At 38.6% G+C, this 26237-nt stretch overlaps 1 long non-coding RNA gene across 1 annotated transcript; it reads right to left on the bottom strand.

The window, feature by feature from the left end:
- Positions 1-402: 402 nt before the first annotated feature.
- Positions 403-25503, bottom strand: LOC105376043 (uncharacterized). The gene is made up of 4 exons (NR_188596.1): positions 25377-25503; positions 22734-22813; positions 16698-16746; positions 403-2632 (listed from the first exon to the last, which is right to left on the bottom strand). It is a non-coding gene; the product is annotated as an uncharacterized LOC105376043 (long non-coding RNA).
- Between the last annotated feature and the right edge of the window lie 734 nt (positions 25504-26237).

Here is a 26237-nt window from a genome sequence, read left to right as displayed (position 1 = left end):
ACGCAGGCAACCAAAAACATTGGACTAGAGTTAATGTTAAGCTTAGGATGTCTGCCTTCTGGAAGACTCGCCAGTTAATAATATGCTGTTAGAGAGCCTTAAAATGAGCCTTTTCAAGAGGTTTGGCATAGTTATGATATGAGCCAACTTAGAAATTGTTTAAGACAAAAGGTCATCAAGTGGGACTATCAGAACTGAATTTACAACAGAATTAACTTTTTTTCACTGAGGTTACCTCCGGTTATCCCCCAAAAATGTGACTTTATAAATACATGTGGGTGTTCTAGCTCTGAAGATTATTACTAGACAGCTCTGTTTTGTATTATTAATCTTTTGTTAACTCTAAAACTTACCTGTTTGTTACTCAACAGACAAAATAAATATACACTGCCAATGGGGTAGTTTGTAGTGACCCAAAAGGATTTATTGATCTCTGATATGTTTGTTCTATAAGTGTTTCAAGTTTATATACTGATGGTATACAGCATACTAACTTCATTTTAAAGACCAGAAAATATGTTCAGACTGTAGGTAAAATTTTCCATAAAATTGTACCTTTAAAGACATTGATAAGTAAGCATTGGTAAAATTACAGGTAAGTGAAATTAAAATTATGAACCTACTTAGGCACTGCTTGTGTTTTTATCTGTCATCCTAAAGTACGTAAAAAATCACCCTCCAAAAATCCAATAAACATTTAAGTATAATTATTGAAACAAAAGTTTTCTTTTTGTTTAACTAGAAAGTAATAGGGGCACACTGAATCAACTCGGTTTTTTTTATTTTATTTTTCTCTATTGTGTTGCTCTTTTCAAAGTCATTCATTTCTGATCTTAATTATTGCATTCCTTTTTCTTTGCTATGGTATTTTATTTGTTCCTTCCCGCCCCCCCTCCGCCCCCCACCAGGTCTTTACTGTAAAACTATACCATTAACTTGAGGACTTTCTTCTTGTCAAGTATAAACATTTAATGATATAAATTTCCCCCTATGCACTGCTTTACCTGCATCTCCCAAATTCTTGTATTTGATGTTTCATTTTCATTCAAAATATATTTTAATTTCCCTTGTGACTTTCTTTTTTGCCTATGGGTTGTACAGAAGTGAGTCATTTCATTTCCAAATATTTGGAGGATTTTTCAGACATCTTTCTGCTATTAATTTCCAGTTTGATTCCACTATAGTAACAGAACATTCTTCATATGATTTCAACCCTTTTAAATTTGTTGAGGTTTGTTTTATGTCCCAGTATCTTGGTAAATGTCCCATGAGCCCTTGAAAAGAATGTGTATTCTGCTATTGCTGAATAGAGCATTCAATAAATACCAAATTTGTCAAGTTGCTTAACAATGTAGTTCTAGTCTACATATTTTACTGATTTTCTGTCCATCTGTTCTATTACTGAGAGAGGAATGCTGCAGTCTCTAAGTGTAGGTTTGTCTATTTTTTCTTTCTGTTCTATCAGTTTTGCTTTATGCATTTTAAAGCTCTGTTGTTAGGTGCATACACGTTTAGTCTTTTTCTTCTTGATGAATTGGCCCTTTTACACTATATGTGGTGGCTTTTTATTTCTGAAGATATTCTTTGTTCTGGAATTTCCTGTTATCTAATACTAATAGAGCAACTGTTTGCATGGCATATATGGTATATTTTTCATCCTTTTACTTTTAACCTGTATACTTTTATATTTAATGTGAATTTATTATAGATAGATTATAGTTGATTCTTGCTTTTTTATCTAATTTGATCATCTCTGTGTTTTAGTTGGTATGTTTAGGTCATTTAAATTAAATACAGCTACTGATACAGTTGGATTTTAATGTACTATCTCATATCTTGTTTCTATTTGTTATATTTGTTCTTTGTTCTTTTTCTAACTGATTTTGAATTATTTTTAATGATTCCATTTAATCTCCATTTTTTGTTTTTTTATCATTTATGCTTCTTTTAAAAATATTTTAGTGGTTCCCTAGGTTTATAATATGCACCTTAAAAAATTGTTTTTCGTAGAGACAGAGTCTCACTTTGTTACCCAGGCTGGTCTCAAATTCCTGGCCTCAAGGGATCCTCCTACCTTGGTATCTCAAAGTGCTTGGATTACAGGGATGAGCCACTATGCCTGACCCATGCATCTGTAATTAATGACACCTTACCTATAAATAATAATATACTGCTTCTCATATTGTATCAGTCATGATTCAACTGAGAAACAGAACCAATAAAAGATTTTATGTTTGTGAATATAGGTGTGGAAAAATTTTTATGATATTTGCTATAGGGCCATGATGTTGTTATAACTGTGGGAGCTGCTTAAAGCAATCTCTGCAGGATGTTGTCTTCATGTCTGATGCTGGAGTTTGAAGTCCACAGCACAGACAGGAAGGAGACATGGATGTAGAGGGTAAGACATCAAAGACAAGCTGTATCCCACAGGCAGGAGCCCCAGAAGATGTACTGAAATCCATCAGTTCTTGTTGTTTGTATCTTGATGCTGTCATGGAGCTAAGTACACAAACTTGGCCTAGACGTCAGAGACGCTGAAAGAGTATTCAGGGAAGGTGGAGCTGTTTCAAAGCCAGCCACTGCTCTTAGCCGATGGTATGTGTCAACAGTCAGCAACAGCATGCGTAACCTACAAGACCAAGAATAGATTAACATTACCAGGGAATAGCAACCTTCTGACTGCCTTCAGAGTCATAATAAACTTCCCGAATGCAGGCTTCTTATTTCATTTCTGGTACTGAAGACAGTGCCTAACTTGTAGATAATACTCAGTGACTTGGACACCCTAAAATACATCACATCCTGCATCTAACTAAGTGGTTTTCCATACATCATCTAACTTGTGAGGTAGCCAGTGCAGGTGCACCCATGCTGCTCTTATACAGGAAAGAATGAACAACTCTGAGCAGTTCAGTGATATGTCCAGGACCAGGCAGGCAAGGGGCAGAGCCAAGGCCAGAGTGCAGAACTCATATCTGCTGACTGTTAGGCAAGCAGGGTGATTCTCAAACTCTGTGTACAACAGAATTATCTACAGATCCATCATTTAATTTAATCAAAACCCACATTTCATGGATTTACCCAAGAATTACTGAGTTCAAATCTCTGGAGGTGGAGGCCATGTAATTGTGATATACACCAAAGTTGAGGACCCCTGTGGCAAGACTTTCAGATAAATTGGAAAGATGACTTGGGGCCACATAGTGGACGACTTGGTCTCTGAGATGGTGGCTTTCAGATGTTGGCACATAAGAATGACCTGGGGCCCTCCCACAGTCACCACACTCTGGTTTTCCGGGACAAGCCAGAAATCTGTATCCTAAGAGAAGTGTACCATGTACCACACTCAGTAAACACAGCTCTAAGGAGTTTCTTCCCTTTGGGAAACAGAGGGCTGCTGAATATTTCTTGAGCAAACTTTTTTTTTTGTTCGAGACAGGGTCTCACACTGTCCCCCAGCCTGAAGTACAGTAGTGTGATCACTGCTTACAGCAACCTCAACCTTCCAGGCTCAAGTGATCCTCCCACCTCAGCCTCCCACAGAGCTGGAACTACAGGCATGCACAACCACATCCAGTTATTTTTTTTTTTTTTTTTAGTTTTTGTGGATATGGGGGTCTTGCTATGCTGCCCAGGCTGGTCTCAAACTCCTGGGTTCAAGTGATCCTCCTGCCTCAGCCTCTCAAAGTGCTGGGATTACAGGTGTAAGCCACCACGCCCAACCTATACACATATTTTATATAATGTTTCCATTCTCCAAATATCCAAGCATCTATCATAGAATTTCACAGTGTTAAATGCTTCTAGACATTTTAGTTCTCTCTTAATCTTCATTTGTTTAACCATCAACCAGGTGGGGACACTTTTCATTTTTTTACTGAGGATATAGTCTAGTAATCCAATGGGGAAAAGGGTTCCTCCATAAAAATTATCTTTGTCTCCCTTTGGAGAAAGAGCAAACATTATTATTTTTTAATGCTTTGTTTAAAGTGAATTCAATAATAGTCTTTGTGAAGTCACAGAAAGTACCTTAGAGGCCTCAAAACATTTTGATGATTTCTAAATGTTTTGTTTCTCTCTCTACAGAGAAATCAGATGTTTATACTCACAAAAAAACAATCCTATTGTATTGTTTTTGTCCTTGGAGTATTTTTCCTTGGAGAGGACACATGTACACTGTATGGGGAAAGCCTCAGAGGGTACCATCTTGCTTTCTCAAGTTCATTTTTTTTTTTTTTTTGAGTGCAGTGGTGCGATCTTGGCTCACTGCAACCTCCACCTCCCTGGTTCAAGCAATTCTCCTGCCTCAACTTCCTGAGTAGCTGGGATTACAGGCACCCACCACGATGGCTGGCTAATTTTTTTTTTTGTATTTTTAGTAGAGATGGGGTTTCACCATGTTGGCCAGACTGGTCTCAAACACCTGACTTCAGGCCATCTGCCCACCTCGGCCTCCCAAGTACTGGGATTACAGGCATGAGCCACCGTGCCCAGCCTCTGAAGTTCACTTTCTGAGATTCCTAAGGAATTAATAAAATAAAACCCTGGAAAATAGCCTATGTGTGCCTGAGTGTAAGAAGGAACGCACATGCATGTGCATATGGAGACACAGAATTCCACCAACCCTGCCCTGTCACTCGGTGGGCTCTTGTCACTGTCACACACGTTCAAGAGCTAAGCATGATGCATTCAACGAGAATATGATTAGTCTCGTGCATAAGTCTACAACAATAATGAGCAGCAGACAGAATGACAGTAATAGCAGTTCTTAATTCTCCCATTTATAAGAAAGAAGATTGACTAATGAAGCTGTCTGCCAGTGGCTGCATTGTCTGAATTACTATTAGTTTAGAGGGAATTATGTTAAAAATTTTAATAACATGCAGTATAATAATAACAAAGGTTATTCATCACCAAACAAGCATTTTCAGTGCCAATGAAAGGCCCCTCCACAGCGGCTGCACTGGTGAATCCAAACAGCCTTTTTCTGTGTGATTGCTCTGCACGGGGTCTTTGGCAACAATGAAGAAACTGGTTAGAGAGAACTAAGTTTGTAGACTCACATTTTTCAAATATAGTAATGTAAATATATTTTCCAATCACATTCCATAAGAGATGATTCATGAAATCAGACAAAAGTAAATTATCACAGGCAAGAGTAGAGCTTCCTTCCTCAGATTGGTGTTACCATAAAACATCTTTGGAGCCTTCTCTAAACGATACCAGCTTTTAGCTCATAATTTATGCTCTTCTCTGGAGTTTTTCTCTAGAGTGGAAGCCACAAATTTCTTTACTTGTGATTTAAGATATAGTTTCTCAATTAAATGGCAAGCTTCTACTGCCACCAAAAGAAATGGTAATTCAATCTACCTTAAACACTCTCATTTCTAAAAATGCTCTAAAAGCTTTGGGTAAGATTAGCACAGTTCCTGAGGCAAAAGCTTAACTTTGTTTCATACCTGTTTAAAAACTGGTAAAAAGTCGTATAGATATACTCTACAAGAAAAGTATTATGAAGAGACCCAGTGAGGAATGCTCAACAATGGAGTTAAAGGGGAAGATGTGTAGTTGTTTAACCCTCTATCTAAGATGTGGTCTGTAGCATGTTTGGGCTTATGCTGTTTGGTTGCAAACTCAGGCGTTGAAGAAAGAGGCTGTGATTTATTAAAGCCCGATAACCCCAACCCATGATGTATTGGTTTCCTGGGGCTTCACTAACAAAGTACCACAAAATGGGTGGCTTAATAACAAAACTGTATTTCCTCACAATGCTGGATACCAGAAGTTCAAAGTGCCGGAGGGCTGGTTCCTTCTGAAGGCTTTGAGGGAGAATCCACTCCATGCCTCTCCCCCAGCCTTTGGCATTGTTTGGCTTGTAGATGGTTTTTCCTCTATCTCTTCACATTGTATTCCCTCTATATATGTCTGTCTCTGGGCCCAGATTTCCCCTTCTTATGAGGACACAGTCATATTGGATTAGAGATCACTCTGATGACCTCATCTTAACTTGATCATCTGCACAGATCCTATTTCCGAAGAAAGTCATATTTACACATCATGAGGGTTAGGACTTCAAACACTTTGGAGGGCAAAATTCAACACATAACATATGCTGATGATCTTGTAGTTTACAGATGATGCTGTAACCTTCTGTTTATTTTTTTATTGAAAAACACATGACAAAGTTTATCGTCTTAATGATTTTTAAATGTATAGTACAGTAGTCTTAACTACTAATGTATGTTGTTGTGCAGTTACTCTCCAGAACCTTTTCATCTCTTGTAAAACTGAAACTATGTACCTACGAAACAACCCCCTTTTCCCTCTCCACCCAGCAATCACCGATCCACTTTTTGTTTCTAAAAGTTTGACTGATTTAGATACCTCATAGAGGTGGAATCATGCAGTATTTGCCTTTTTTGTGACTGGTTTATTTCACTTAGCATAATGTCTGTCCTCAAGGTTTGTTCATTCATGTTGTCATGTGTTTAAGAATTTCTTTCTTTTTTAAGATTAAATAATTTTCCATTGTATGTTTATACCACATTTTCTTAATCAATGGGCATTTAGGTTCCTTCCACCTTTTGGCTACTGGGAATAATGCTGCAATGAATATGGGTGAGCAAATACCTCTTTCAGATAATATTTTCAATTCTTTAAAATGTATACTCAGAAGTGAACTGCTGAAAGTTATGAAAATTCTCCATCATACTGCTTCCCATAGTGACCACACCATGTTACATTCCTGTTAACAGTACAAAAGGGTTCCAATTTCTTCACAACCTTGTCAATAGTTGTTATTTTCTATTTTCCTGATGGTAGCCATCCTAACAGGTGTGAGGTGATATCTCATTGCAGTATTCACCTGCACTTCCAGAATGGTTAGTAATGCTGAACATCTTTTCATATGGTTGTTGGCTCTTTGTATGTCTTTTTTGAGAAATGTTTATTCAAGTTCTTTGCCCATTGTTTAATTGGGTTGCTTCTTTGTTTGTTGTTGAATTGTAGGAGTTCTTTATATATTCTGGCTATTAACCCCTTAACAGATGTATGGTTTGCGAACATTTTATCTCATTCCATAGGCTACCTTTTCACTATGTTGATTGTTTCCTTTGACATGCAGAACATTTTTAAGTTTGATATGGTCCAATTTGTCTATTTTTGCTTTTGTTGCCTGTGCTTTTGGTATAATTACCATAAAATCATATCCAAGTTCAATGCCATAAAGTTTTTCCCCTGTGTTTTCTCTTAGAAGGTTTGTATTTTCGGGTCTTACATTTAGGTCTTTACAGGACTTCCCACACTATGTTGAATAGAAGTGGCAAGAATGGGCATCATATGACAAATATCTGCCCAATCCCTGCAGCCCCCATCCCTGGCAACCACCATTCTATTCTCTATCTCTATGAGTTTGACATTTTTAAGTTCCAGATATAAGTGAGATCATGTGGTGTTTGTCTTTCTGTGTCTGGCTTATTTCACTTAGTATAATGTACTCCAGATTATCCCAGATGACAGGATTTCCTGACTGGACAGAATTTGCTTCTTTTTTCAAGACTAAATTACTATTCCCATTGTGTATATATGTTACATTTGCTTTATTCTGTCATTTGATGATGGACACTTAGGTTGATTCCAGACCGTGGCTATTGTGAATAACATGCTGCACTGAACATGGGTGTGCACATACCTTTTTGAGATCCTGATTTCAGTTCCTTTGGCTATATACCAAAAAGTGGGACTGCTGAATTATATGGTATTTCTATTTTTAATTTTTTGAGAATTCTTCATACTGGTCTCCATAATTTCTGTACTAAAATTCTCACCAATGTAACAGAATTCTTTTTTTCCGCATCCTCACCAACACTTACCTTTTATCTTTTTGATAATCGCCATTCTAACTGATGTGAGGTGGTATCTCAATGTAGTTTTAATTTGCATTTCATTAATGGTTAGGGTGATGTTGAGGATTTTTTCAAATACCTGTAGGCCATTTATATGTCTTTTTTTGAGAAATGTCTGTTTAGGTCTTTGCTCCTACATATATAGATATAGATATTGATATAGATATATACATATATCTATATATATAGAGAGAGAGATTTTTTTTTGGAGTCTTGCTCTGTTGCCCAGGCTGGAGTGCAGTGGCGCAATCTTGGCTCACTGCAAGCTCCGCCTCCCAGGTTCACGCCATTCTCCTGCCTCAGCCTCCTGAGTAGCTGGGACTACAGGCGCCCGCCACCATGCCTGGCTAATTTTTTGTATTTTTAGTAGAGACGGGGTTTCATCGTGTTAGCCAGATGGTCTCAATCTCCTGACATCGGGATCCGCCCTCCTCGGCCTCCCAAAGTTCTGGGATTACAGACGTGAGCCGCCACGCCCGGCCCGTCCTTTGCTCCTATTTTTTAATTGGGTTATTTGTTTTCTGGCTATTAAATTGTGTGCTTTTTATATACTCTGTTTATTAACCTCTTATCTTCATGGTTTGCAAATATTTTCTCCCATTCTATAGGGTGCCTCTTCTCTCTCTGATTGTTTCTTTCACTGTGCAGAAGCATTTTATTTTGATGTTATCCCATTTTTTTTTCAGTTAAACAGGAGATATATTGTACAACATGGTGAGTATAGTTAATAACAATGTATTGTATACTTGAAAATTGCTAAGAAAGTAAATTTTAAGTGTTCTCATCACCAAAAATAAGTTTTTGAGGTAATGCACATGTTAATTAGTTTGATTTAGCCATTCCACAATCAGTATATTTTTCAAAACATTGTGTTGTACACCATGAATATATATAATTTTTGTCAATTGAAAAATAAATAATCTTTTTAAAAAATAAAAATCTATAAAATTTTTTAAACAGTGGGCATTCTTGCCTGGCTCCTGATCTTAGAAGGGAAAGAATTCAGTTTTTCACTACTGAATATAATATTAGCTGTAGGCTTGTCATATATGGCCTTTACTATGTTAAAATAATTTCTTTCTCTTTCTAGTTTGTTGAGTGTTTTATGATGCAAGTGTGTTTAATTATGTTAAATTCTTTTTCTGTACCAATTGAGATGATCATATATTTTTTGTCCTTAATGTTGTTAATGTGATATCTTACATTAATTGATTTTCATATGCAAATTATCCTTGCATTCCAGAAATAAATCCCATTTGGCCATCACATATTATCCTTTTAACATATAGTTGAATTTGGCTTGCTAGTATTTTTTTAAGTATTTTTCCATTAATACTCATCAGAGATATTGGCTTGTAGTTTTCTTTCCTTGTATCTTTCTCTGATTTTGATATCAGGATAATGTTGGCCTCATAAAACGAATCAGAAATATTCCTTTCCTTTCAACTTTTTGGAAGAATTTGAGAAAGATTAAAAATTCTTTAAATATTTGGTAAAATTCTCCAGTGAAGCTATCAGGCCCTGGTATTTTCTTTATTGAAAGATTTTTGAATACTGCTTCATTCTCCTTATTTGTTACAGGTCTGGTCAGATTGTCAGTCTTGACAGGCTGTATTCTTCTAGAAATTTTCCATTTCTTATATATTATTCAATTTTTTGCCCATAAGTGTTCATAGTAATTTCTTTTTCCTTTTTCTTTTTTTTGAGAAGGAGTCTCGCTCTGTCACCCAGGCTGGACTGCAGTGGTGCGATCTCGGCTCACTGCAAGCTCTGCCTCCCGGGTGCACGCCATTCTCCTGCCTCAGCCTGCCGAGTAGCTGGGACTACAGGCGCCCGCCACGACTCCTGGCTAATTTTTTGTATTTTTAGTAGAGACGAGGTTTCACTGTGTTAGCCAGGATGGTCTTGATCTCCTGACCTCGTGATCCTCCTGCCTCAGCCTCCCAAAATGCTGGGATTACAGGAGTGAGCTACCGCACCCAGCCCAAGTGTTCATAGTAATTTCTTATGATTCTTTTTATTTCTGTAGTATCAGTTGTAATGTTTTCCCTTTCATTTCTGATCTTTGTTATTTGTGTTTTCTCTCTTTTTTCTTAGTCTAGCTAAGGGTTTGTCAATTTTGTGGATTTTTAAAAAAACGCATTTAAAAGTTTTTTTCTATTATTTTTCCGTTCTCTATTTTATATTTTATTTAGTTCTGCCCTAATTTTTATTATGTTCATTCTTCTGCTAGCTTTAGATTTTCTTTTTTTCTTTTTCTTTTTTTTTGGAGACAGAGTCTCACTCTGTCGCCCAGGCTGGAGTGCAGTGGCACAATCTCGGCTCACTACAAGGTCTGCCTGCCGGGTTCAAGTCATTCTCCTGCCTCAGCCTCCTGAGTAGCTGGGACTACAGGCACCCGCCACCACGCCTGGCTAATTTTTTTGTATTTTTAGTAGAGATGGAGTTTCATCGTGTTAGCCAGGGTGGTCTCGATCTCTTGACCTTGTGATCCACCCACCTCGGCCTCCCAAAGTGCTGGGATTACAGGCATGAGCCACAGTGCCTGGCCAATTTTTTTCTTTTTTATAGGTCCTTGAGGTGTAAAGCTAGGTTGTTAACTGGAGATCTTTCTTCTTTAATGTAAGCATCTGTCGTTATAAACTTTCCTCTTAGTACTGCTTTTGTTGCATCCCATAAGTTTTGATATGTTGTGCATTTATTTTCATTATCCTCAGGATAATTTTATAATTTCCCTTGTGACTTCTCCTTTGACTTCAGTTGTTTAAGAGTGTGTTGTTTGGCTGGGCGCGGTAGCTCACACCTGTAATCCCAGCACTTTGGGAGGCTGAGGCGGGTGGATCATGAGGTCAGGAGATCGAGACCATCCTGGCTAACATGGTGAAATCCCGTCTCTACTGAAAATACAAAAAATTAGTGGGACGTGGTGGCAGGCGCCTGTAGTCCCAGCAACTCGGGAGGCTGAGGCAGGAGAATGGCGTGAATCCGGGAGGCGGAGCTTGCAGTGAGCCGAGATTGCGCCACTGCACTCCAGCCTGGGTGACAGAGCGAGACTTTGTCTCAAAAAAAAAGAGTGTGTTGTTTAATTTCCACCTAATTTTGAATTTTTCGATTTTCCTTCTGCTGTTTATTTCTAGTTTCATTCCATTCCATTGTTGTCAGAAAAGATACTTGCTTGGTCTGATTTCAATATCCTTAAATTTGTTCCATGGACATGGAATATGTTCTATGTGCACTTGAGAAGAATGTATGGTCTGCTGTTGTGTGGAGTGTTCCGCAGGTGTCTGTTAGGTCTAATTGGTCTATAGTGTTGTTCAAGTCCTCTGTGTTCATATTAATCCTCTGTCTGGTTGATATATTCATTATCGAAAATAAGGTATTGAAATCTTCTAATATTATTGTGTTCCTGTCTATTCAATTCTACCATTGTTTGCTTCATATATGTCTGTGTTCTGATGTTAGGTGAATATTTATAATTGTATCTTATTTTATTGATCCTGTTGTCATGTATTGTTTTTCCTTGTCCCTTGTGAAAAGTTTTAGAATTATAGTCTATTTCATCTGATATAAGCATCACAACCTCTGCTCTCTTTTGGTTACCATTTGTATGGAATATCTATTTCCATTTTTTCACATTCATTCTGTGTGTGTCCTTAGAGCTAAAGTGAGTCTTTTGTAGACAGCATACGGTTGGATCTTGTTTCTTTTTCAATCCATTCAGCCATTCTGTGTCTTTTGATTGGAGTGTTTAATTCAATTACATTTAAAGTAATTACTGATAGGAAAGAAATTTTACAATCTCCTGCTGTCTTCTCTTGTGATTTTTTTCAGTGACATGTTTGTATTTCTATCTCATTTTTGTACATCTTTTTAAGATATTTTATTTGTAGTTACCATAGAGATTACATTAAACATCTTATAGTGAACTTGATGAACTTACATGAACTTATAATTATGAACTTAACTTCAATCACACACAAAACTTTACTTCTTTACATGTTACCCTACACACACTTTATGTTCTTGGTGCTATCAATTACATTTTTAACTTTATGTATCAATGTATATAGATTTATAGTTTAGTTATTTTCATGCTTTTATATTTTTAACTACACTAGAATTAAAAATTATTTATGCACCACCATCATAGTATTAGAGGATTCTGTGTTTGCTTAAATATTTACCTTCAGCAAAGAGCTTTATATTTTCATATGATTTCATGTTGCTAGCTAATCTTTTCATTTCATTTTGAAACTCCCTTTAGCTATTCTTCTAAGCCTAATCTAGTGGTGATGAAGTCCCTCAGCTTTTGTTTATTTGGGAAGGTCTGTTTATTTTTGAAGGATAGTTTTACAAGATGTAGTATTTTTGCTAGGCAAGATTTTTTTTTCTTTCAATACTTTGAATATATCATCCCACTCCCTTCTGACCTGTAATGTTTCTGGTGAGAAATCCACTGATAATCTTATGGAAACTCCCTTGTACATGATGAGTCTGTTTTCTCTTGATGTTTTCAAGAATCTCTCTTTGACTTTTGCTTTTGACCAGTTGGTTATTGTGTGTCTTGGTGTGAGACTCTGAGTTCAACTTAATTGGAGTCTTTTGTGATTCCTGAATTTGGATATCCATTTTCTTTCTCAGTTGAGTGGTTTTAAGCCATTATTTCTTCAAATAAACTCTCTTCCCTTTCTTGCTCCCTTCTCCTTCTGGAACTCTCATAATGCCTGTATTGGTCCACTCAGTGGTACCACATAAATCCCACAGACTTTCTTTATTTTCCATCATTCTCTTTTCTATTTGATCCTCTAATTCAATAACTTCAAATGACCTTTCTTTGAGTTCACTGATTCCTTCTTCTGATTGATCACATCTGCTGTTAAATGCTTATAGTGAATATTTCAATTCTGTTATTGCATTATTCAGCTCCATAACTTCTGTTTGGCCTTTATTCTGGTTTCTGTCTCTGTTGATATTCTACATTAGTTTGTGCATTGTTTTCCATTTGTTCTTTTTGTTTGTTTGTTTTTTGTTATTTTGAGATGGAGTCTGGCTCTGTCGCCCAGGCTGGAATGCAGTGGCATGATCTTGGCTCACTGAAAACTCCGCCTCCCGAGTTCACGCCATTCTCCTGCCTCAGCCTCCTGAGTAGCTGGGACTACAGGTGCCTGCCACCATGTCCAGCTAATTTTTTGTATTTTTTAGTAGAGACAGGGTTTCACCATGTTAGCCAGGATGGTCCCGATCTCCTGACCTCATGATCCACCTGCCTCGGCCTCCCAAAGTTCTGGGATTACACGTGTGAGCCACCATGCCTGGCTGTTTTTTTGTTTTTTTGTTTTTTTTTTTTTTTAGATGGAGTTTTGCTCTTGTTGCCTAGGCTGGAATGTAATGGCGTGATCTTGGCTCACTGCAACCTCCAACCTCCACCTCCTGAGTTCAAGCTATTTCCCTGCCTCAGTCTCTTGAGTAGCGAGGACTACAGGCACCTGCCACCACGCCCAGCTAATTTTTGTATTTTTAGTAGAGACGGGGTTTCATCATGTTGGTCAGGCTGATCTCAAACTCCTGACCTCAGGTGATCCACCCACTTCAGTCTCCCAAAGTGATGGGATTACAGGTGTAAGCCACCGTGCCCAGCCTTCCTCTTTGTTTAGTTATATTTCTGTGTTCTCTTGTAATGCATTGAGCTTCTTTAAGGTGATTATTTTGAATTCTTTGTCAAGTAATTCACAGATATCCATTTTTAGGATTATTTTTTCTGGAAGTTTATTTTATTCCTTTGATTGAGTCATGTTTCTATGTTTTTCCATGTGTCTTGTTATTTTTTGCTGTGATGTGTGCATTTAAATATACAGCCACCTCTTCCAATCTTCATAAACTGCCTTCATACAAGGGAAGAGCTTCACCAATCGGCCTGGTTAGAGATTCTGGGGTCCTCCAAAATCTTTTCTGGGGATACATCTTTTCTGAGCTTATGTATCTGATTTCCCAGTTAGAGAGATTTGCAGTTTCTTTTTCAGGAGCTTCTAATCTCTTGCTGACACTGATGTCTGTCTGCAGTACTAGAAATTCTCTGATGTAATATGCAAGCTGCTGAATACCCTATTGTTTTCTGTGACCATAGGCATCCAAAGCATGCAGGTTCTGTCAATGCTCCAAGTCAGGTAAGACAGAACTCTGTTTGTAGGGCAGCCCCCTGACCAAAAAAAAAAAAAAAAAAAAAAAAAAAAATACACTGAATTGCTGGATGCATGTTCCACTCTTCTCTTTTTCTTCCAAACGAGTAGTCATGAGCTGGGCATTTTCTCCCAGTCACTCCAAGCTGTACCAGCTCTTTCATGGTGATAAGGTTCTCTGGGGCCGCATCAAACTGCTGAGCAACCTTTTCTTCTCAGCAGTCCCAAGACATCCATACTATACTGGTTCCTCATCACTGCTTCAAGCCAGGTGAGAGGGAAACCAGTCCCTGAGCAGCCCCCTGAAAAGCTAGAACATTAAACATATGTTCTACTCTTCTCTTTCCCTCTCAAAGGAAAAGGCATGAGCTGGCCTTTTTCTCCTAATTTTGCTGTGTTGTGCCAGCTTGGAGGAGCTACTAAGGTTGAAATAAAATAACCTTTCTTACTCATTATAATGTGGCTGTTCTTGGCTTTGAGCTTGCCTGAGGTGCAATGATTTCTTAACTACTTTCTGGAGTTCTCATAAAGGCTTATTGTTGTCAAGTCAGTTTATCTGTGAGTGAATGAAGCCTGGGGCTTCCTAGTCTATCACTTTACTGACATCACTCTCTACTTTCTGTTTATTTCTTAACAAATTCCCAGATACTTCCTCTGGGCCCAAAAGTACCGAATCCATTTAATCCCATCACTTATTCATTATAAGGAGGAAAGCAAGGAGACCATGTTCTACAAGTCATTTCTGGCACTTTATTTTGCATCCACTCCAATATAATAAGTTCATAGTGAGCAGTGGTGGAGTAAAAACTTTAAAAGATGGAGAGAAAAATCTCTGTGTTAATGAGAGTTTTTCCAATTGACTGTGTTAAAAAAGAACACTGACTTTAGAATCAGACAAATAGCAGACTAGCAATCCCAGCTTGACTACTCAGTATGGAATATGGAGAAATTGAAATTCCCTGAGCCTTAATTTCTTCAGTAAATAATGCTGCCTTCACATAAAGTTGATATGAGTGTTCAATAATGAATGCAAAGTTTCTAGCCTAGAACACAGAACACAGTAGGCATTCACAGTAGGCACTCTCCTCCTCCAGTTAGCCAAATTAGATGAAAAGTATTATAGCAAGGAATAAATCATGTGAATAAGTTCAGTATATACCATATACCTATGGAAAAATATTGTATAATCTAAAGACAAAATTTATATGTGCCTAAACTTTCAAATGATGTCTAGTACCTACTTTACATTTTTATAAACCAGCTGCCACATGCCAGGTAATTTGGTTGTTTGTTCTATGCCAACTAAATACCACAGTGAATTAGTGAGGTTTTTTGTTCTTTTTTTTTTTTGCTTCTCACTAGAAAAGTATTTTAGAATATAAAGCCTGAAAAGAAAGGCCAGATATTTGTAACTGACTGAGCAATACCTGGAAGGTTAAATAGGTACATTGAGGGATGTTGGCCAGAAAGGCTTCAAATGTATACCAAGAGAAAAAAACAAACAAACATAGGTGACATTTTGATATCACCATCAGCTTTACTTTAATAAGTAATAATAAAAGACATGAAGACATTGACATGTCTCTATAAATGTACACAATGCCAAAAGAGTTGGACATTATTTATTAGACTTGAACTGAAAAATATGTAAAGTAAATTTGCGTATTGATTCAATCTACCATTGACTTTCAATATGATTTTTAAAATCTCAAAGAAATATTTCCAATTTGAATAATTAATACAATTCATCCTTCAGATCCTGATAGTCATTTAAAGTACCATTAGCAATACCTGTCTACTCACTCCTACCAATTAAGTGGCAAAAAATAAGCCAGAGTCTAAATACCCAGGAATTTTTAAAACTCACTTCAAAATAAATCATCTCATTAAGGCTTTGCACTGCCTATTAAAGGCAGTAATGTAGATATTCAGCAGAAAATGTAACATGGAAAAGGGGCTGAGTCTGACTATACGGTAAAAACCCGTTATTAGAAAACTCTGCAATTAGCTCTCTTCATTAAGATCTGCTGGCTGGGCCGGGCGCGGTGGCTCACGCCTGTAATCCCAGCACTTTGGGAGGCCGAGGCGGGCGGATCACGAGGTCAGGAAATCGAGACCATCCCGGCTAAAACGGTGAAACCCCGTCTCTACTAAAAATACAAAAAATTAGCCGGGCGTAGTGGCGGGCGCCTGTAGTCCCAGCTACTTGGGAGGCTGAGGCAGGAGAATGGCGTGAACCCGGGAGGCGGAGCTTGCAGTGAGCCGAGATCGAGATCCGGCCACTGCACTCCAGCCTGGGCGACAGAGCGAGACTCCGTCTCAAAAAAAAAATAAAATAAAATAAAAAATAAAATTAAAAAAAAGATCTGCTGGCTGATGGACCAAACACAAAAAAGCAAACAGGTTTTACAGGACTTAGTGCAAATTAATGACAGTTTATATTGCAATTTATTTTGCCCTAGATAACTTCCTTTGCAAAGATGTCAGAGAAAAGGGAGAAGGCAGTATTAACAGACAAATTACAAAATGTGTTACAAGTAACATACAAATATGTGCAAAAGTTCTTTCATTTATTGGTTTATTCACCTTTATGCAACAATTATTGAGCACTTACTATGTGCCAGGAAAGACTTCACAGGACAAGATCTCATGGACAATATATCCTAGTGGGCAAGACAGAAAATAACAGATAAGTAAATATATAAAATAATTTTAAATAGTGATGTATGCTATGAAGAAGATAATCTTATGTTACTGTCCTATCTTGGTAATTTAGCAGTCTCAAACTTTATGAAGCAGGTATAAAGAAAGGCTAACTTACGTGCTTTCATCTGAATCATTACATCAAATGATTGAACCAAGAAAAAGCCTTCCTCAGTTGGCTTCTTCATGAAAGTGACCACATCCTCCTTTCATGGAAACCGTTGGACTCACTCACTGACAGGATTTGACTTATCCTTCATGAATGTTGAAAATAAAATTACAGTTTTTTTGAAGTTTAGGAAACAAAAAAGAGTTTATTCAAGAAATAATGCCTGTGATAAAAAGAGCTCATTTGCACCATTTCTACCTGATTCTGAGTAGGCTAGTTAATGTTTTAGAAATTGCATTTGGGACTCAAGCAAAGCCTTTTGAAATTTAATGTTCTGTATATTCATAAAAGCATAATCAGATGTGTATTATTATTAAAAGTTCCTCTCATGGTTTTCATTTATGGTAAACGGCAATATGAAAGGACATAAAGAATACAAATTGATAAAAAATTTCCCTTAAAAAAAAAAGATTTTAGGATCCCCTTCCTCCTGCAAGACAAGTAGTTTCTGATGAGATTTGATTGACACTATGAGGTCTATGCACCTGGGTTGATATTCGTGTCTGTTTTTGCAATTAGAATACGTATTAGTGCTGACAAGCCTGGAAATTCTTCAGCACTTTAAAAGAAGCACAATTTTAGTCTTGCAAAAAACCTAATTATAATAAACAAAAAAATTATAGCTCTGATCATAGTAACCAGGTTGCAAACTCCTACCCAATAGTAGGAGTTTCAAACAACCTTCATTTAAGTTATTGTATTCACTTCACAGAGGAAAGAAATAGGGCAATTGAGCATTAAACAGTGTTGCAAATATGACTGGAAAACCTCCACCTGATTCAAGGGAAGTGTCTGTCCTCGGTGAAATGGGAAGATTGGTCAGGGGCCTATCCCCCTCTTGGAGGTAAATGAGGCCAAGTATTAATATTATTCTAAGCAGGTGGAGGTCTTACTATATTAGTCGGATAAATTCTAAAAATTAGGTTTATGCTTTAATGAGCTGCAGAAGGTTTGATTTTTTTAATGCTTCAACTGATCTGAATTCCTAACTCACAATACAGAATGGTCTTATGAAATGTCCCTATTCATAAAAGGTGCGTATTTCAATTTCTAGACAATTCATTAGACATTCTTCTCTGTTTAATCCATAAAAATAAAGCCTATTTCATCATGATTTGGATAATTTTGCAAAGGACGATGAGGCATCCCAGAGCTGGTTGCTTGCATAAACTGTTTTCATTTTCATGAATTTGTAAATAAATTACTGCCTGAACAACCAGACTTTTATAAGTCTTCAGGGTAGCTGTATTTAAAAAATTATACATAGTACTCTGACAGTACATTTCTCTAAAGGAAGTCAGAAAATTGTTCAAAAAGTATTTGGATTCAGCTTCTAGGACGTATTTAAGGTAGCAAACCTGCCCACCACCAGAGTATGAAGTAAAACAAGGCTAAGAGTGATAGAAGCATTTTTTTTTCTTTGAGATGGAGTTTTGCTCTTGTTGCTCAGGCTGGAGTACAATGGCACGAAGTTGGCTCACTGCAACCTCCAACTACTGGGTTCAAGACATTCTCTTGCCTCAGCCTCCCAAATAGCTGGGATTACAGGTGCCCACCACCATGCCCAGCTAATTTTTGTATTTTTGGTAGAGACGGGGTTTCACCATGTTGGCCAGGCTGGTCTCAAACTCCTGACCTCAGGTGATCCACCTGCCTTGGCCTCCCAAAGTGCTTGGATTACAGGTGTAAGCCACCACCCCCTGCCAATAGAAGCATTTTTTAACATGAGAGTCATTTAAAATTGCATGAGATCCTACCACGTAACAAACGCTGCATGCGTGCACTTTATGGGTGCATTCACATATGGCACCTCTTCCAAAGGGCATGCGATTTGGATTCCATGAAATTGAATGTTGCAAACTCATCAAAATGCAACCTTTAAAACTAGTTTTCCAAATGAAGAAACATCATAATACAATTTTATAGGCCGATGTGGAAAGGCTGTGTTAAAGACTGAATGCCTGCTCTCTGACACGTTCATCTTGTCAAGGCTTCCCAAAGGCACTGCAGACTTTGCAGCTGTATTAGCAGTGATTCCTTCGTTTGGAATGCCTGTTCCCATGCGCACACACTCTTGCTGCAGCCACATCATATTTAAAATCTGCCCTGATCCTCCTGGTTGACATCAATGTTGTCACTCCTCTTCATTTTCATAGCATTAAGCCCTATTTTGTACTTAACAGAAAGTAAGTTCGGCACAGAGGGAAGAGAATTGGGCCTATTTTGTTCATATCCCATCTCTGGAGCTGAGCATAGTGACAGGTACACAGAAAGCTCTCATCTGGTATTTTGAATACATTATAACATTTTCCCAGTCTTTTCAACATATTGTCTCAGCACTGGTGGGGGAAAAATGCTGCAAAGGCCATGCTTTTCCAGCCTAAATCTTCCCCAGGACTGGCACAGTGAGTGGCACATAGTAGGGGTATTAGTCCCTGTGGCTGCTTAACAAAGTATCACAGCTGGGCTGCTTAAAATAACAGAAATTTATACTTTCATAGTTCTAGAGGCCAGAATTCCAAAATCAATGTGTTGGCAAGACCACACTTTTCCTGGAGTCTACGGGGGTGGACTGGTTCTTTGCCCCTCCCATCTTCTGTTGGCGTCCCTAACTTGTGGCTGCATTACTGCGGTCTCTGCCTCCATGGGCACTTAAGTTCCTCCTCTCCTTTCTGTGCTTTCTCCCTTTGCCTCTCTTTTATAAGGACACTTGTGATCATAATTCAAGGCCACCTGAATAAAGAAGGTTCGTCCCCTCATGCCAAGATCCCTAACTTAATCACGTCTACAAAGACTCTTTTGCCAAACAAGGGAACACTTCCCAGTCCCAGGGATTAGAATCTGAGATCTTTGGATGACCATCTCTCAATCTACTACGGTAGACGTGGAGTAAGTACACGGAGTTTTACCAGTACAAGCACAGTGATACATGATCTGTTGGTTGATTCCATATATCTTGTTTTTGATGCTGTTTGCCAAAAAATATCAAAAGATCACAGCTCTTCTGCAAGGCAGTCATTTAAGCAGAGAAATAAATCCACTGTAACGGTGTTATTTCTCACTGTTGTTTTCTTAGCTGAGTGGCTGGTTTCTTAAGCATAGCCACAGCATCCGATGAACCCTAGAATTTCTGTTGCATTTGCAATCATCTCTCCAGTCACTTGGGTCCTTCTGCACTCGCTTCCTGCTCTGACTTATGTGGCACCATTCCACCATGTGGCAGGACTCCCCATCTTTTTTGTGGCACTGACACGATAGGACACTACACATTTCTAACCTTTATTTTCAACAGATTGTTCCCTCACTCAGCATAAAATTTCATCCAGCATTCTCATCACACGGTGAGGGTTCACTGATTTCAATGGTGTATGAAAATGCAGCTCTGGGCTGGGTGCGATCCGAGCACTTTGGGAGGCCGAGGCGGGTAGATCACGAGGTCAGGAGATCGAGACCATCCTGGCTAACACGGTGAAACCCCGTGTCTACTAAAAATACAAAAAATTAGCCGGGCGTGGTGGCGGGCGCCTGCAGTCCCAGCTACTCAGGAGGCTGAGGCAGGAGAATGGCGTGAACTCAGGAGGCAGAGCTTGCAGTGAGCCGAGATCGTGCCACTGCACTCCAGCCTGGGAGACAGAGCAAGACTTCATCTCAAAACAACAACAACAACAACAACAACAACAACAATGACAAAAGACTCTCTGTTGTATGTGGCGTCAGAGACAGAAGCAGATGGCTAAACTGGCCTGTGCTGGGATCCCAGCACTAAAAGCCAGATGGTGTGGATTTCAGTCAGATCTTTCATAACCAACAAATTTGAGAAACAGATGAGGCAGGGCCAAGAACTACTAATTTTTTCATTTTATAAATAAGCACCATTAAGCTTTTCTTCTATAAAGCCTCTTGATCTAACCACTAACTAAGCTATTTGTCTGAAATCCTCAAGTCAATGTAGTAAATAAGCATTTACTAAATTTAAATTTAATAAAATAAGCATTTTTTTTCCTCTTTTGGCCAATTTAGTTCTTTAGAAGTTGGGTTAACAGAAGCCAACTTCACCACCGTCAAAACATATGTTTGCTTTTACATAAGTAGAGGCATGCTGTTACTTCTTTTTAAAAATAGTTTAGGCCAGGCGCAGTGGCTCACGCCTGTAATCCTAGCACTTTGGGAGGCTGAGGCGGGCAGGTCACGAGGTCAAGAGATTGAGACCATCCTGGCCAACATGGTGAAACCCTGTCTCTACTAAAATTACAAAAATTAGCTGGGTGTGGTGGCGCAGGTGTGTAGTCCCAGCTACTCGGGAGGCTGTGGCAGAAGAATCTCTTGAACCCAAGGAGGTGGAGGTTGCAGTGAGCCGAGATTGCGCCACTGCACTCCAGCTTGGCAACAGAGCAAGATTCTGGCTCAAAAAAAAAAAAAGTTTAGTGTAGAAAATAGTACTTTCAGATTGGGCTACCAGTGTACCATGCATAAATGAAAAGTGTCCTGTGTCATTAAACAGATGCATTTAAAAAAAGAATTTTTTTACAGGTCCACAAACAAGTTTGAAATTAGAAGGAAATTGTGAGCATTCAAATAATAAAGTGGCTTAATACAATCCAAATAAGCTGAAATGTTCAATTACAGAGTATAATATAGTAAAAATATAGATCCATGCTCTCTCAGTGCAAGCTGTCATCCCATGTCACAGCATGCACTATACGCCCTCTTCTTTTCTCTTACTAATATCTTTAAAGCTGCACTTGCACCCTTACCCTCACACGATCCTTCCTTACTTGCATGCTTTTTTTTTTTTGAGACGGAGTCTCGCTCTGTCGCCCAGGCTGGAGTGCAGTGGCGCGATCTCCTCTCACTGCAAGCTCTGCCCCCCAGGTTCATGCCATTCTCCTGCCTCAGCCTCCCGAGTAGCTGGGACTACAGGCGCCTGTGACCATGCCTGGCTAATTTTTTTGTATTTTTAGTTGAGATGGGGTTTCACCATGTTAGCCAGGATGGTCGCGATCTCCTGACCTCGCGATCCGCCCACCTCAGCCTCCCAAAGTGCTGGGATTACAGGCGTGAGCCACCGCACCCGGCCTGCATGCATTTTTAAACTGCATTCAACTCTTTAAATTCTTTTTAAATTTTATTTTTTAATTGACAAATAATACTAGAGGCAATGGTAACCATGAATTCTGAAAGAGATGACTGTTTTATTAAGAGCTTTTATTATTTTATTTTTGATCAACATAAAATAATTATACATCTCTATGGGTTACATAGGGATGTTTTGATACATACAATACAACCTTACTGAATTGTTTATCACATCTAATGGATTTTTGGCAGAGTGTTTAAGTTCTTCTATATATAAGATTATGTTGCCAGCAAATAGGGACAATTTGACTTCCACCTTTCCAATTTGAATAGGCTTTATTTCTTTTTCTTGCCTAATCACCTGCATAAGTTGTTATTGGATACCCACTAGATACTAGGCTGTTTGTTCTATGCTAGATGCTATAAGAATAGAAATATGAAAAAAAAATACCTACCACAAGGAATTTTAGTCCCATGGGCCAGCCCTAAGGCAGAGAGCTAGCTATGAGAGATATTGTGAATGGTACTAAGTGGCCAAGGAACACAGAGAACAGAGATGTGAATTCACATTCACAAGGGCTGGAGGAGGAAAGAGGCAACTGGTAGGTACGTGGCATTTCTAGGCCATTTGGTGTTGGTTAGGCTTTGAGTAGACAGATAAGAAAATAAACGGGTTTTCAGTTGGGAGAACGGTATACCCACAGTATGAAGGCAGAAAGACTCGAAGGTTGTCTACCAAACAGCTTTCAGACCAGTGTGATCCAGGAGACTGGGAGAACTCTCTGAAAAAAAAAAAAAAGAAAGAAAGAAACAGCATAAGTCGGATAACAAGGACCAGACTAAGGTTGGAAGTTTATTCATTAGACCCTAGAGACCCATCAAAATGTTTTGAGCAGCGTTATATTAGATGGGTATCAAATACTTCTGGAATCCATTGGTACTGGATTCATTATATTTTAACCACTCCACCAGGCCTACCATTAGTTACAACATGAGAAGCTAAACGTTATATTCTAACCAACACTTTATCTCCAGTTTTTGCAGAGAAAGCAGTCTGAGCTGCTGCTTTGACTCCACTCAGTAGTTTGTGATTAGTCTGAAATGCTCTACTGCACAGAGCAGGGTCAAGCACATTTCATACACTTGTTTAACAAGTAGCACTCAGGAAGTATATTTTCTGATCCACTTCATAGTATCACAATGCAAGCCGAAAACAATGACTGAAGATGGCAAGATAAAACTATTTGTAATGGAAGCAAATATAAGTTATCCACTTTTATTATTCAGTCCTCTGTTTGGATGGAACACATGAATATTAAAATGGCTGTATTTCATTCCTTTTCAAAAGTAGTAAGAGAAGGATAATCATATGCAATAAAGCATTTTCGGCCTGGGTCTTTATGACAGCTCTAAATGCCTGCCACATTTTAAATACCACAGGTGCAAAACAAATGTATAAATTCCCTGTTACATAATTTTCCATTTATATTGTAGAGAAACAAAATACAGTGTAATGGGGAATTTAATTCTCTGAATAGAAATTATATAATCTCAGCAAGAAAATTCAATAACAGCTTCTACACAGATGGCAAAAATCTGCTGAAAGATCCCAAGAGTAATGGAAGACAACTGGAATTTGCATATAAGATTGGATATCACCTTTCCAAAGCCGTGTCAATAATTTAGTTCCAATGTTTTCTGCGTGATTCACTAATTTTATAATTATAATTTTTGGCAGAATATGGGCTACTCAAAATGGTCCAAATGCAAAAAGTAGCTTTAAGCAGAACATGAAGTAATCTATCATCTTTTTATAAGTAAATAAATAATAATCACATTTGCTATTATTCATATGCTTTGCAAGTTTAGTATTTCTTTGTGTCCTGTAACATGTTCCCTTCAAAGTAATGGAAGATGGAAAATAACAACAATGAAAAGCTGGAACGTGCTCAAAATTTTGACACATCAGCAACACCACCAGTTAAATCCACATACTGCACTAAGATATACAGTTTAGTGAACAGTTGTCAGGCAAATCTATTGTGTGAGTGAACCAGCCAATGTGTTCAGCACTCTTATAACAACTAGTTTAGAACATTTTTTGATTGAGTAACCTGAAGACTCTAGGAGACTGAGAAGTGTGCAGAGACCCAGCCAGTAAAGATCTGGGACAGAAATTAAGAACGTTAGACTCCAGGTTGAGTGTTCGCTCCACGACACAGCAGAAGGGAATTGGAAAGACCCTTGTTTTTATAGTATCTTCATTGTCATAGGCTTCCTAAGAAGAAGAGTTCTAGGGGTAAAAGTCACCAAACGCAGAGGGAAAGTAAGTTTTTTTTCAGTGCTTTTTAATTAGCAAACTCAATAATGTTGGCAAATACATATATTCATCCCCTGAGCTGAGTCAACACAATCTAAATGAAAGAGAATCTGGGGGAGCATAAAGGAGGGAGGCTGTGAATTAACCAGCCTGGGGAAGCCTCAGACATCACTGATCAAGGTGGCCTAAGCATCTCCTGCATCCCAGCACATGTTTGGCTGTGGAGACACACTGTTTCAGAAGGCATACACACAACCACCAACAAAAACAGGTCTAGGTGGGTATTTTGCAGGGGAGACTCACAGGGCTTTCCTGCAGTACCATCTCCTCTCTTTATAAAAATTTAGAATCTTGTTCTGATTAGTCCAAACCCACAACCATGCCCTTCTCCCATTTTATCTGTTTCCCCCCCTATTTGGAAATAAATCTTATGGTTTAAATTACTTTGACAGGTAAATGCCAGTCCAGCATCAGCAAACCTGGTGGGTTGCCATAAGCTACTGGCAAAGTGCAACCACCAGGGGCGCCCGAAACCTGTGGAGGCGGAGATTGTGAGTTTGTCAAAAACAAGGACACCCTTAAAGCAGGCGCATTGCTGGGTGTGAAGCAGGGGAGGGGGCTTTAAAAAGGCCGTACCTTGGTCGGGCTCGGTGTTCACACCTGTAATCCTAGCACTTTGGGAGGCCGAGGCGGGCGGATCACAAGGTCAGGAGATAGAGACCATCCTGGCTAACACGGTGAAACCCCGTCTCTACCAAAAATACAAAAAATCAGCGGGGTGTGGTGGCGGGCGCCTGTAGTCCCAGCTACTCAGGAGACTGAGGCAGGAGAATGGCGTGAACCCAGGAGGTGGAGCTTGCAGTGAGCCAAGAATCGCGCCACTGCAGTACAGCCTGGGCGATAGAGCAAGACTCCGTCTCAAAAAAAAAAAAAAAAAAAAAAAAAAATCCTGTCCTCTATATATTGTCTCTTTTGGGATTCCACGAAGATGACATGCTAGTGTGGGACTGGGTCTCACCTCTCACCTGAAACTGGGAGCTGGAGGTCAATAGTCGTAACCTGGAAGTGCTGGCTGGCAAGGTTTTGGAGCAGGCTCATATAAGGGTGGTTGGAAGGTGCACTTCTTGAGGGTACGGCTGCTACAAAAAAAAATACAATAAAATGCAATGCAATATTTGGGACATACTTATACTAATTAACAGTATTTGTCATTTATCTAAAATCCAAATTTAACTGAGTGTCTTAAATATTCATTTTCTAAATCTTGCAACCCTACTTGTGGTAGAGTGGGGAGGAGTCACAAAAAAAGGAGGTTAAAAAGTCTCCGGGTCTGCTGTGTCGGAGAAACAGAGGTTAATACAGCAAGAGTCTGGGCTGGAAGTGGAGAAGTGGCTGAGATAAGAAGGCCCCTTACCTGACTGCCCTGGATTTAGGGGAATGGATGCTTCACAGTCTGCCCTGGGCATAAGAGTCAAGCAACATTCCTATGATAACCTGAAGAGTTCCATTTTTAACATACTGAATTTTGGATGGTGCAATTAATATCTGTTACACAGTTACCACATTGCAGTGTATCGATCATTTGCACTAATATCTAATTAAATTGTAAGTTCTGGCATTTTATCTTTCCATACCCATATCCTTGGAAAATGCTAGGTACATATTTGTGCTTGCTGATTTTTGAAAAAAAATTCAAAAAATTTTTTAACACATTTACTAATTAACCATAAACTCAGTATCAACCAGTGCTAAAACAGGGAAGAGGGCATGCAGCTACCTGGATATGGCACACAGCTACCTGAACAGACAATATTACAGGAAAGGCAATATACATGGAAAGTCTCTTCTCTCTGCACAAAAACGTATCTCAGAAAATAGTTTTTTCC

Source organism: Homo sapiens, chromosome 9, assembly GCF_000001405.40.
Source record: "Homo sapiens chromosome 9, GRCh38.p14 Primary Assembly".
NCBI classification, from domain to species: domain Eukaryota; kingdom Metazoa; phylum Chordata; class Mammalia; order Primates; family Hominidae; genus Homo; species Homo sapiens.
Note: the sequence above shows the minus strand (reverse complement) of the source record. Positions and strands in the feature narration are given on the sequence as shown.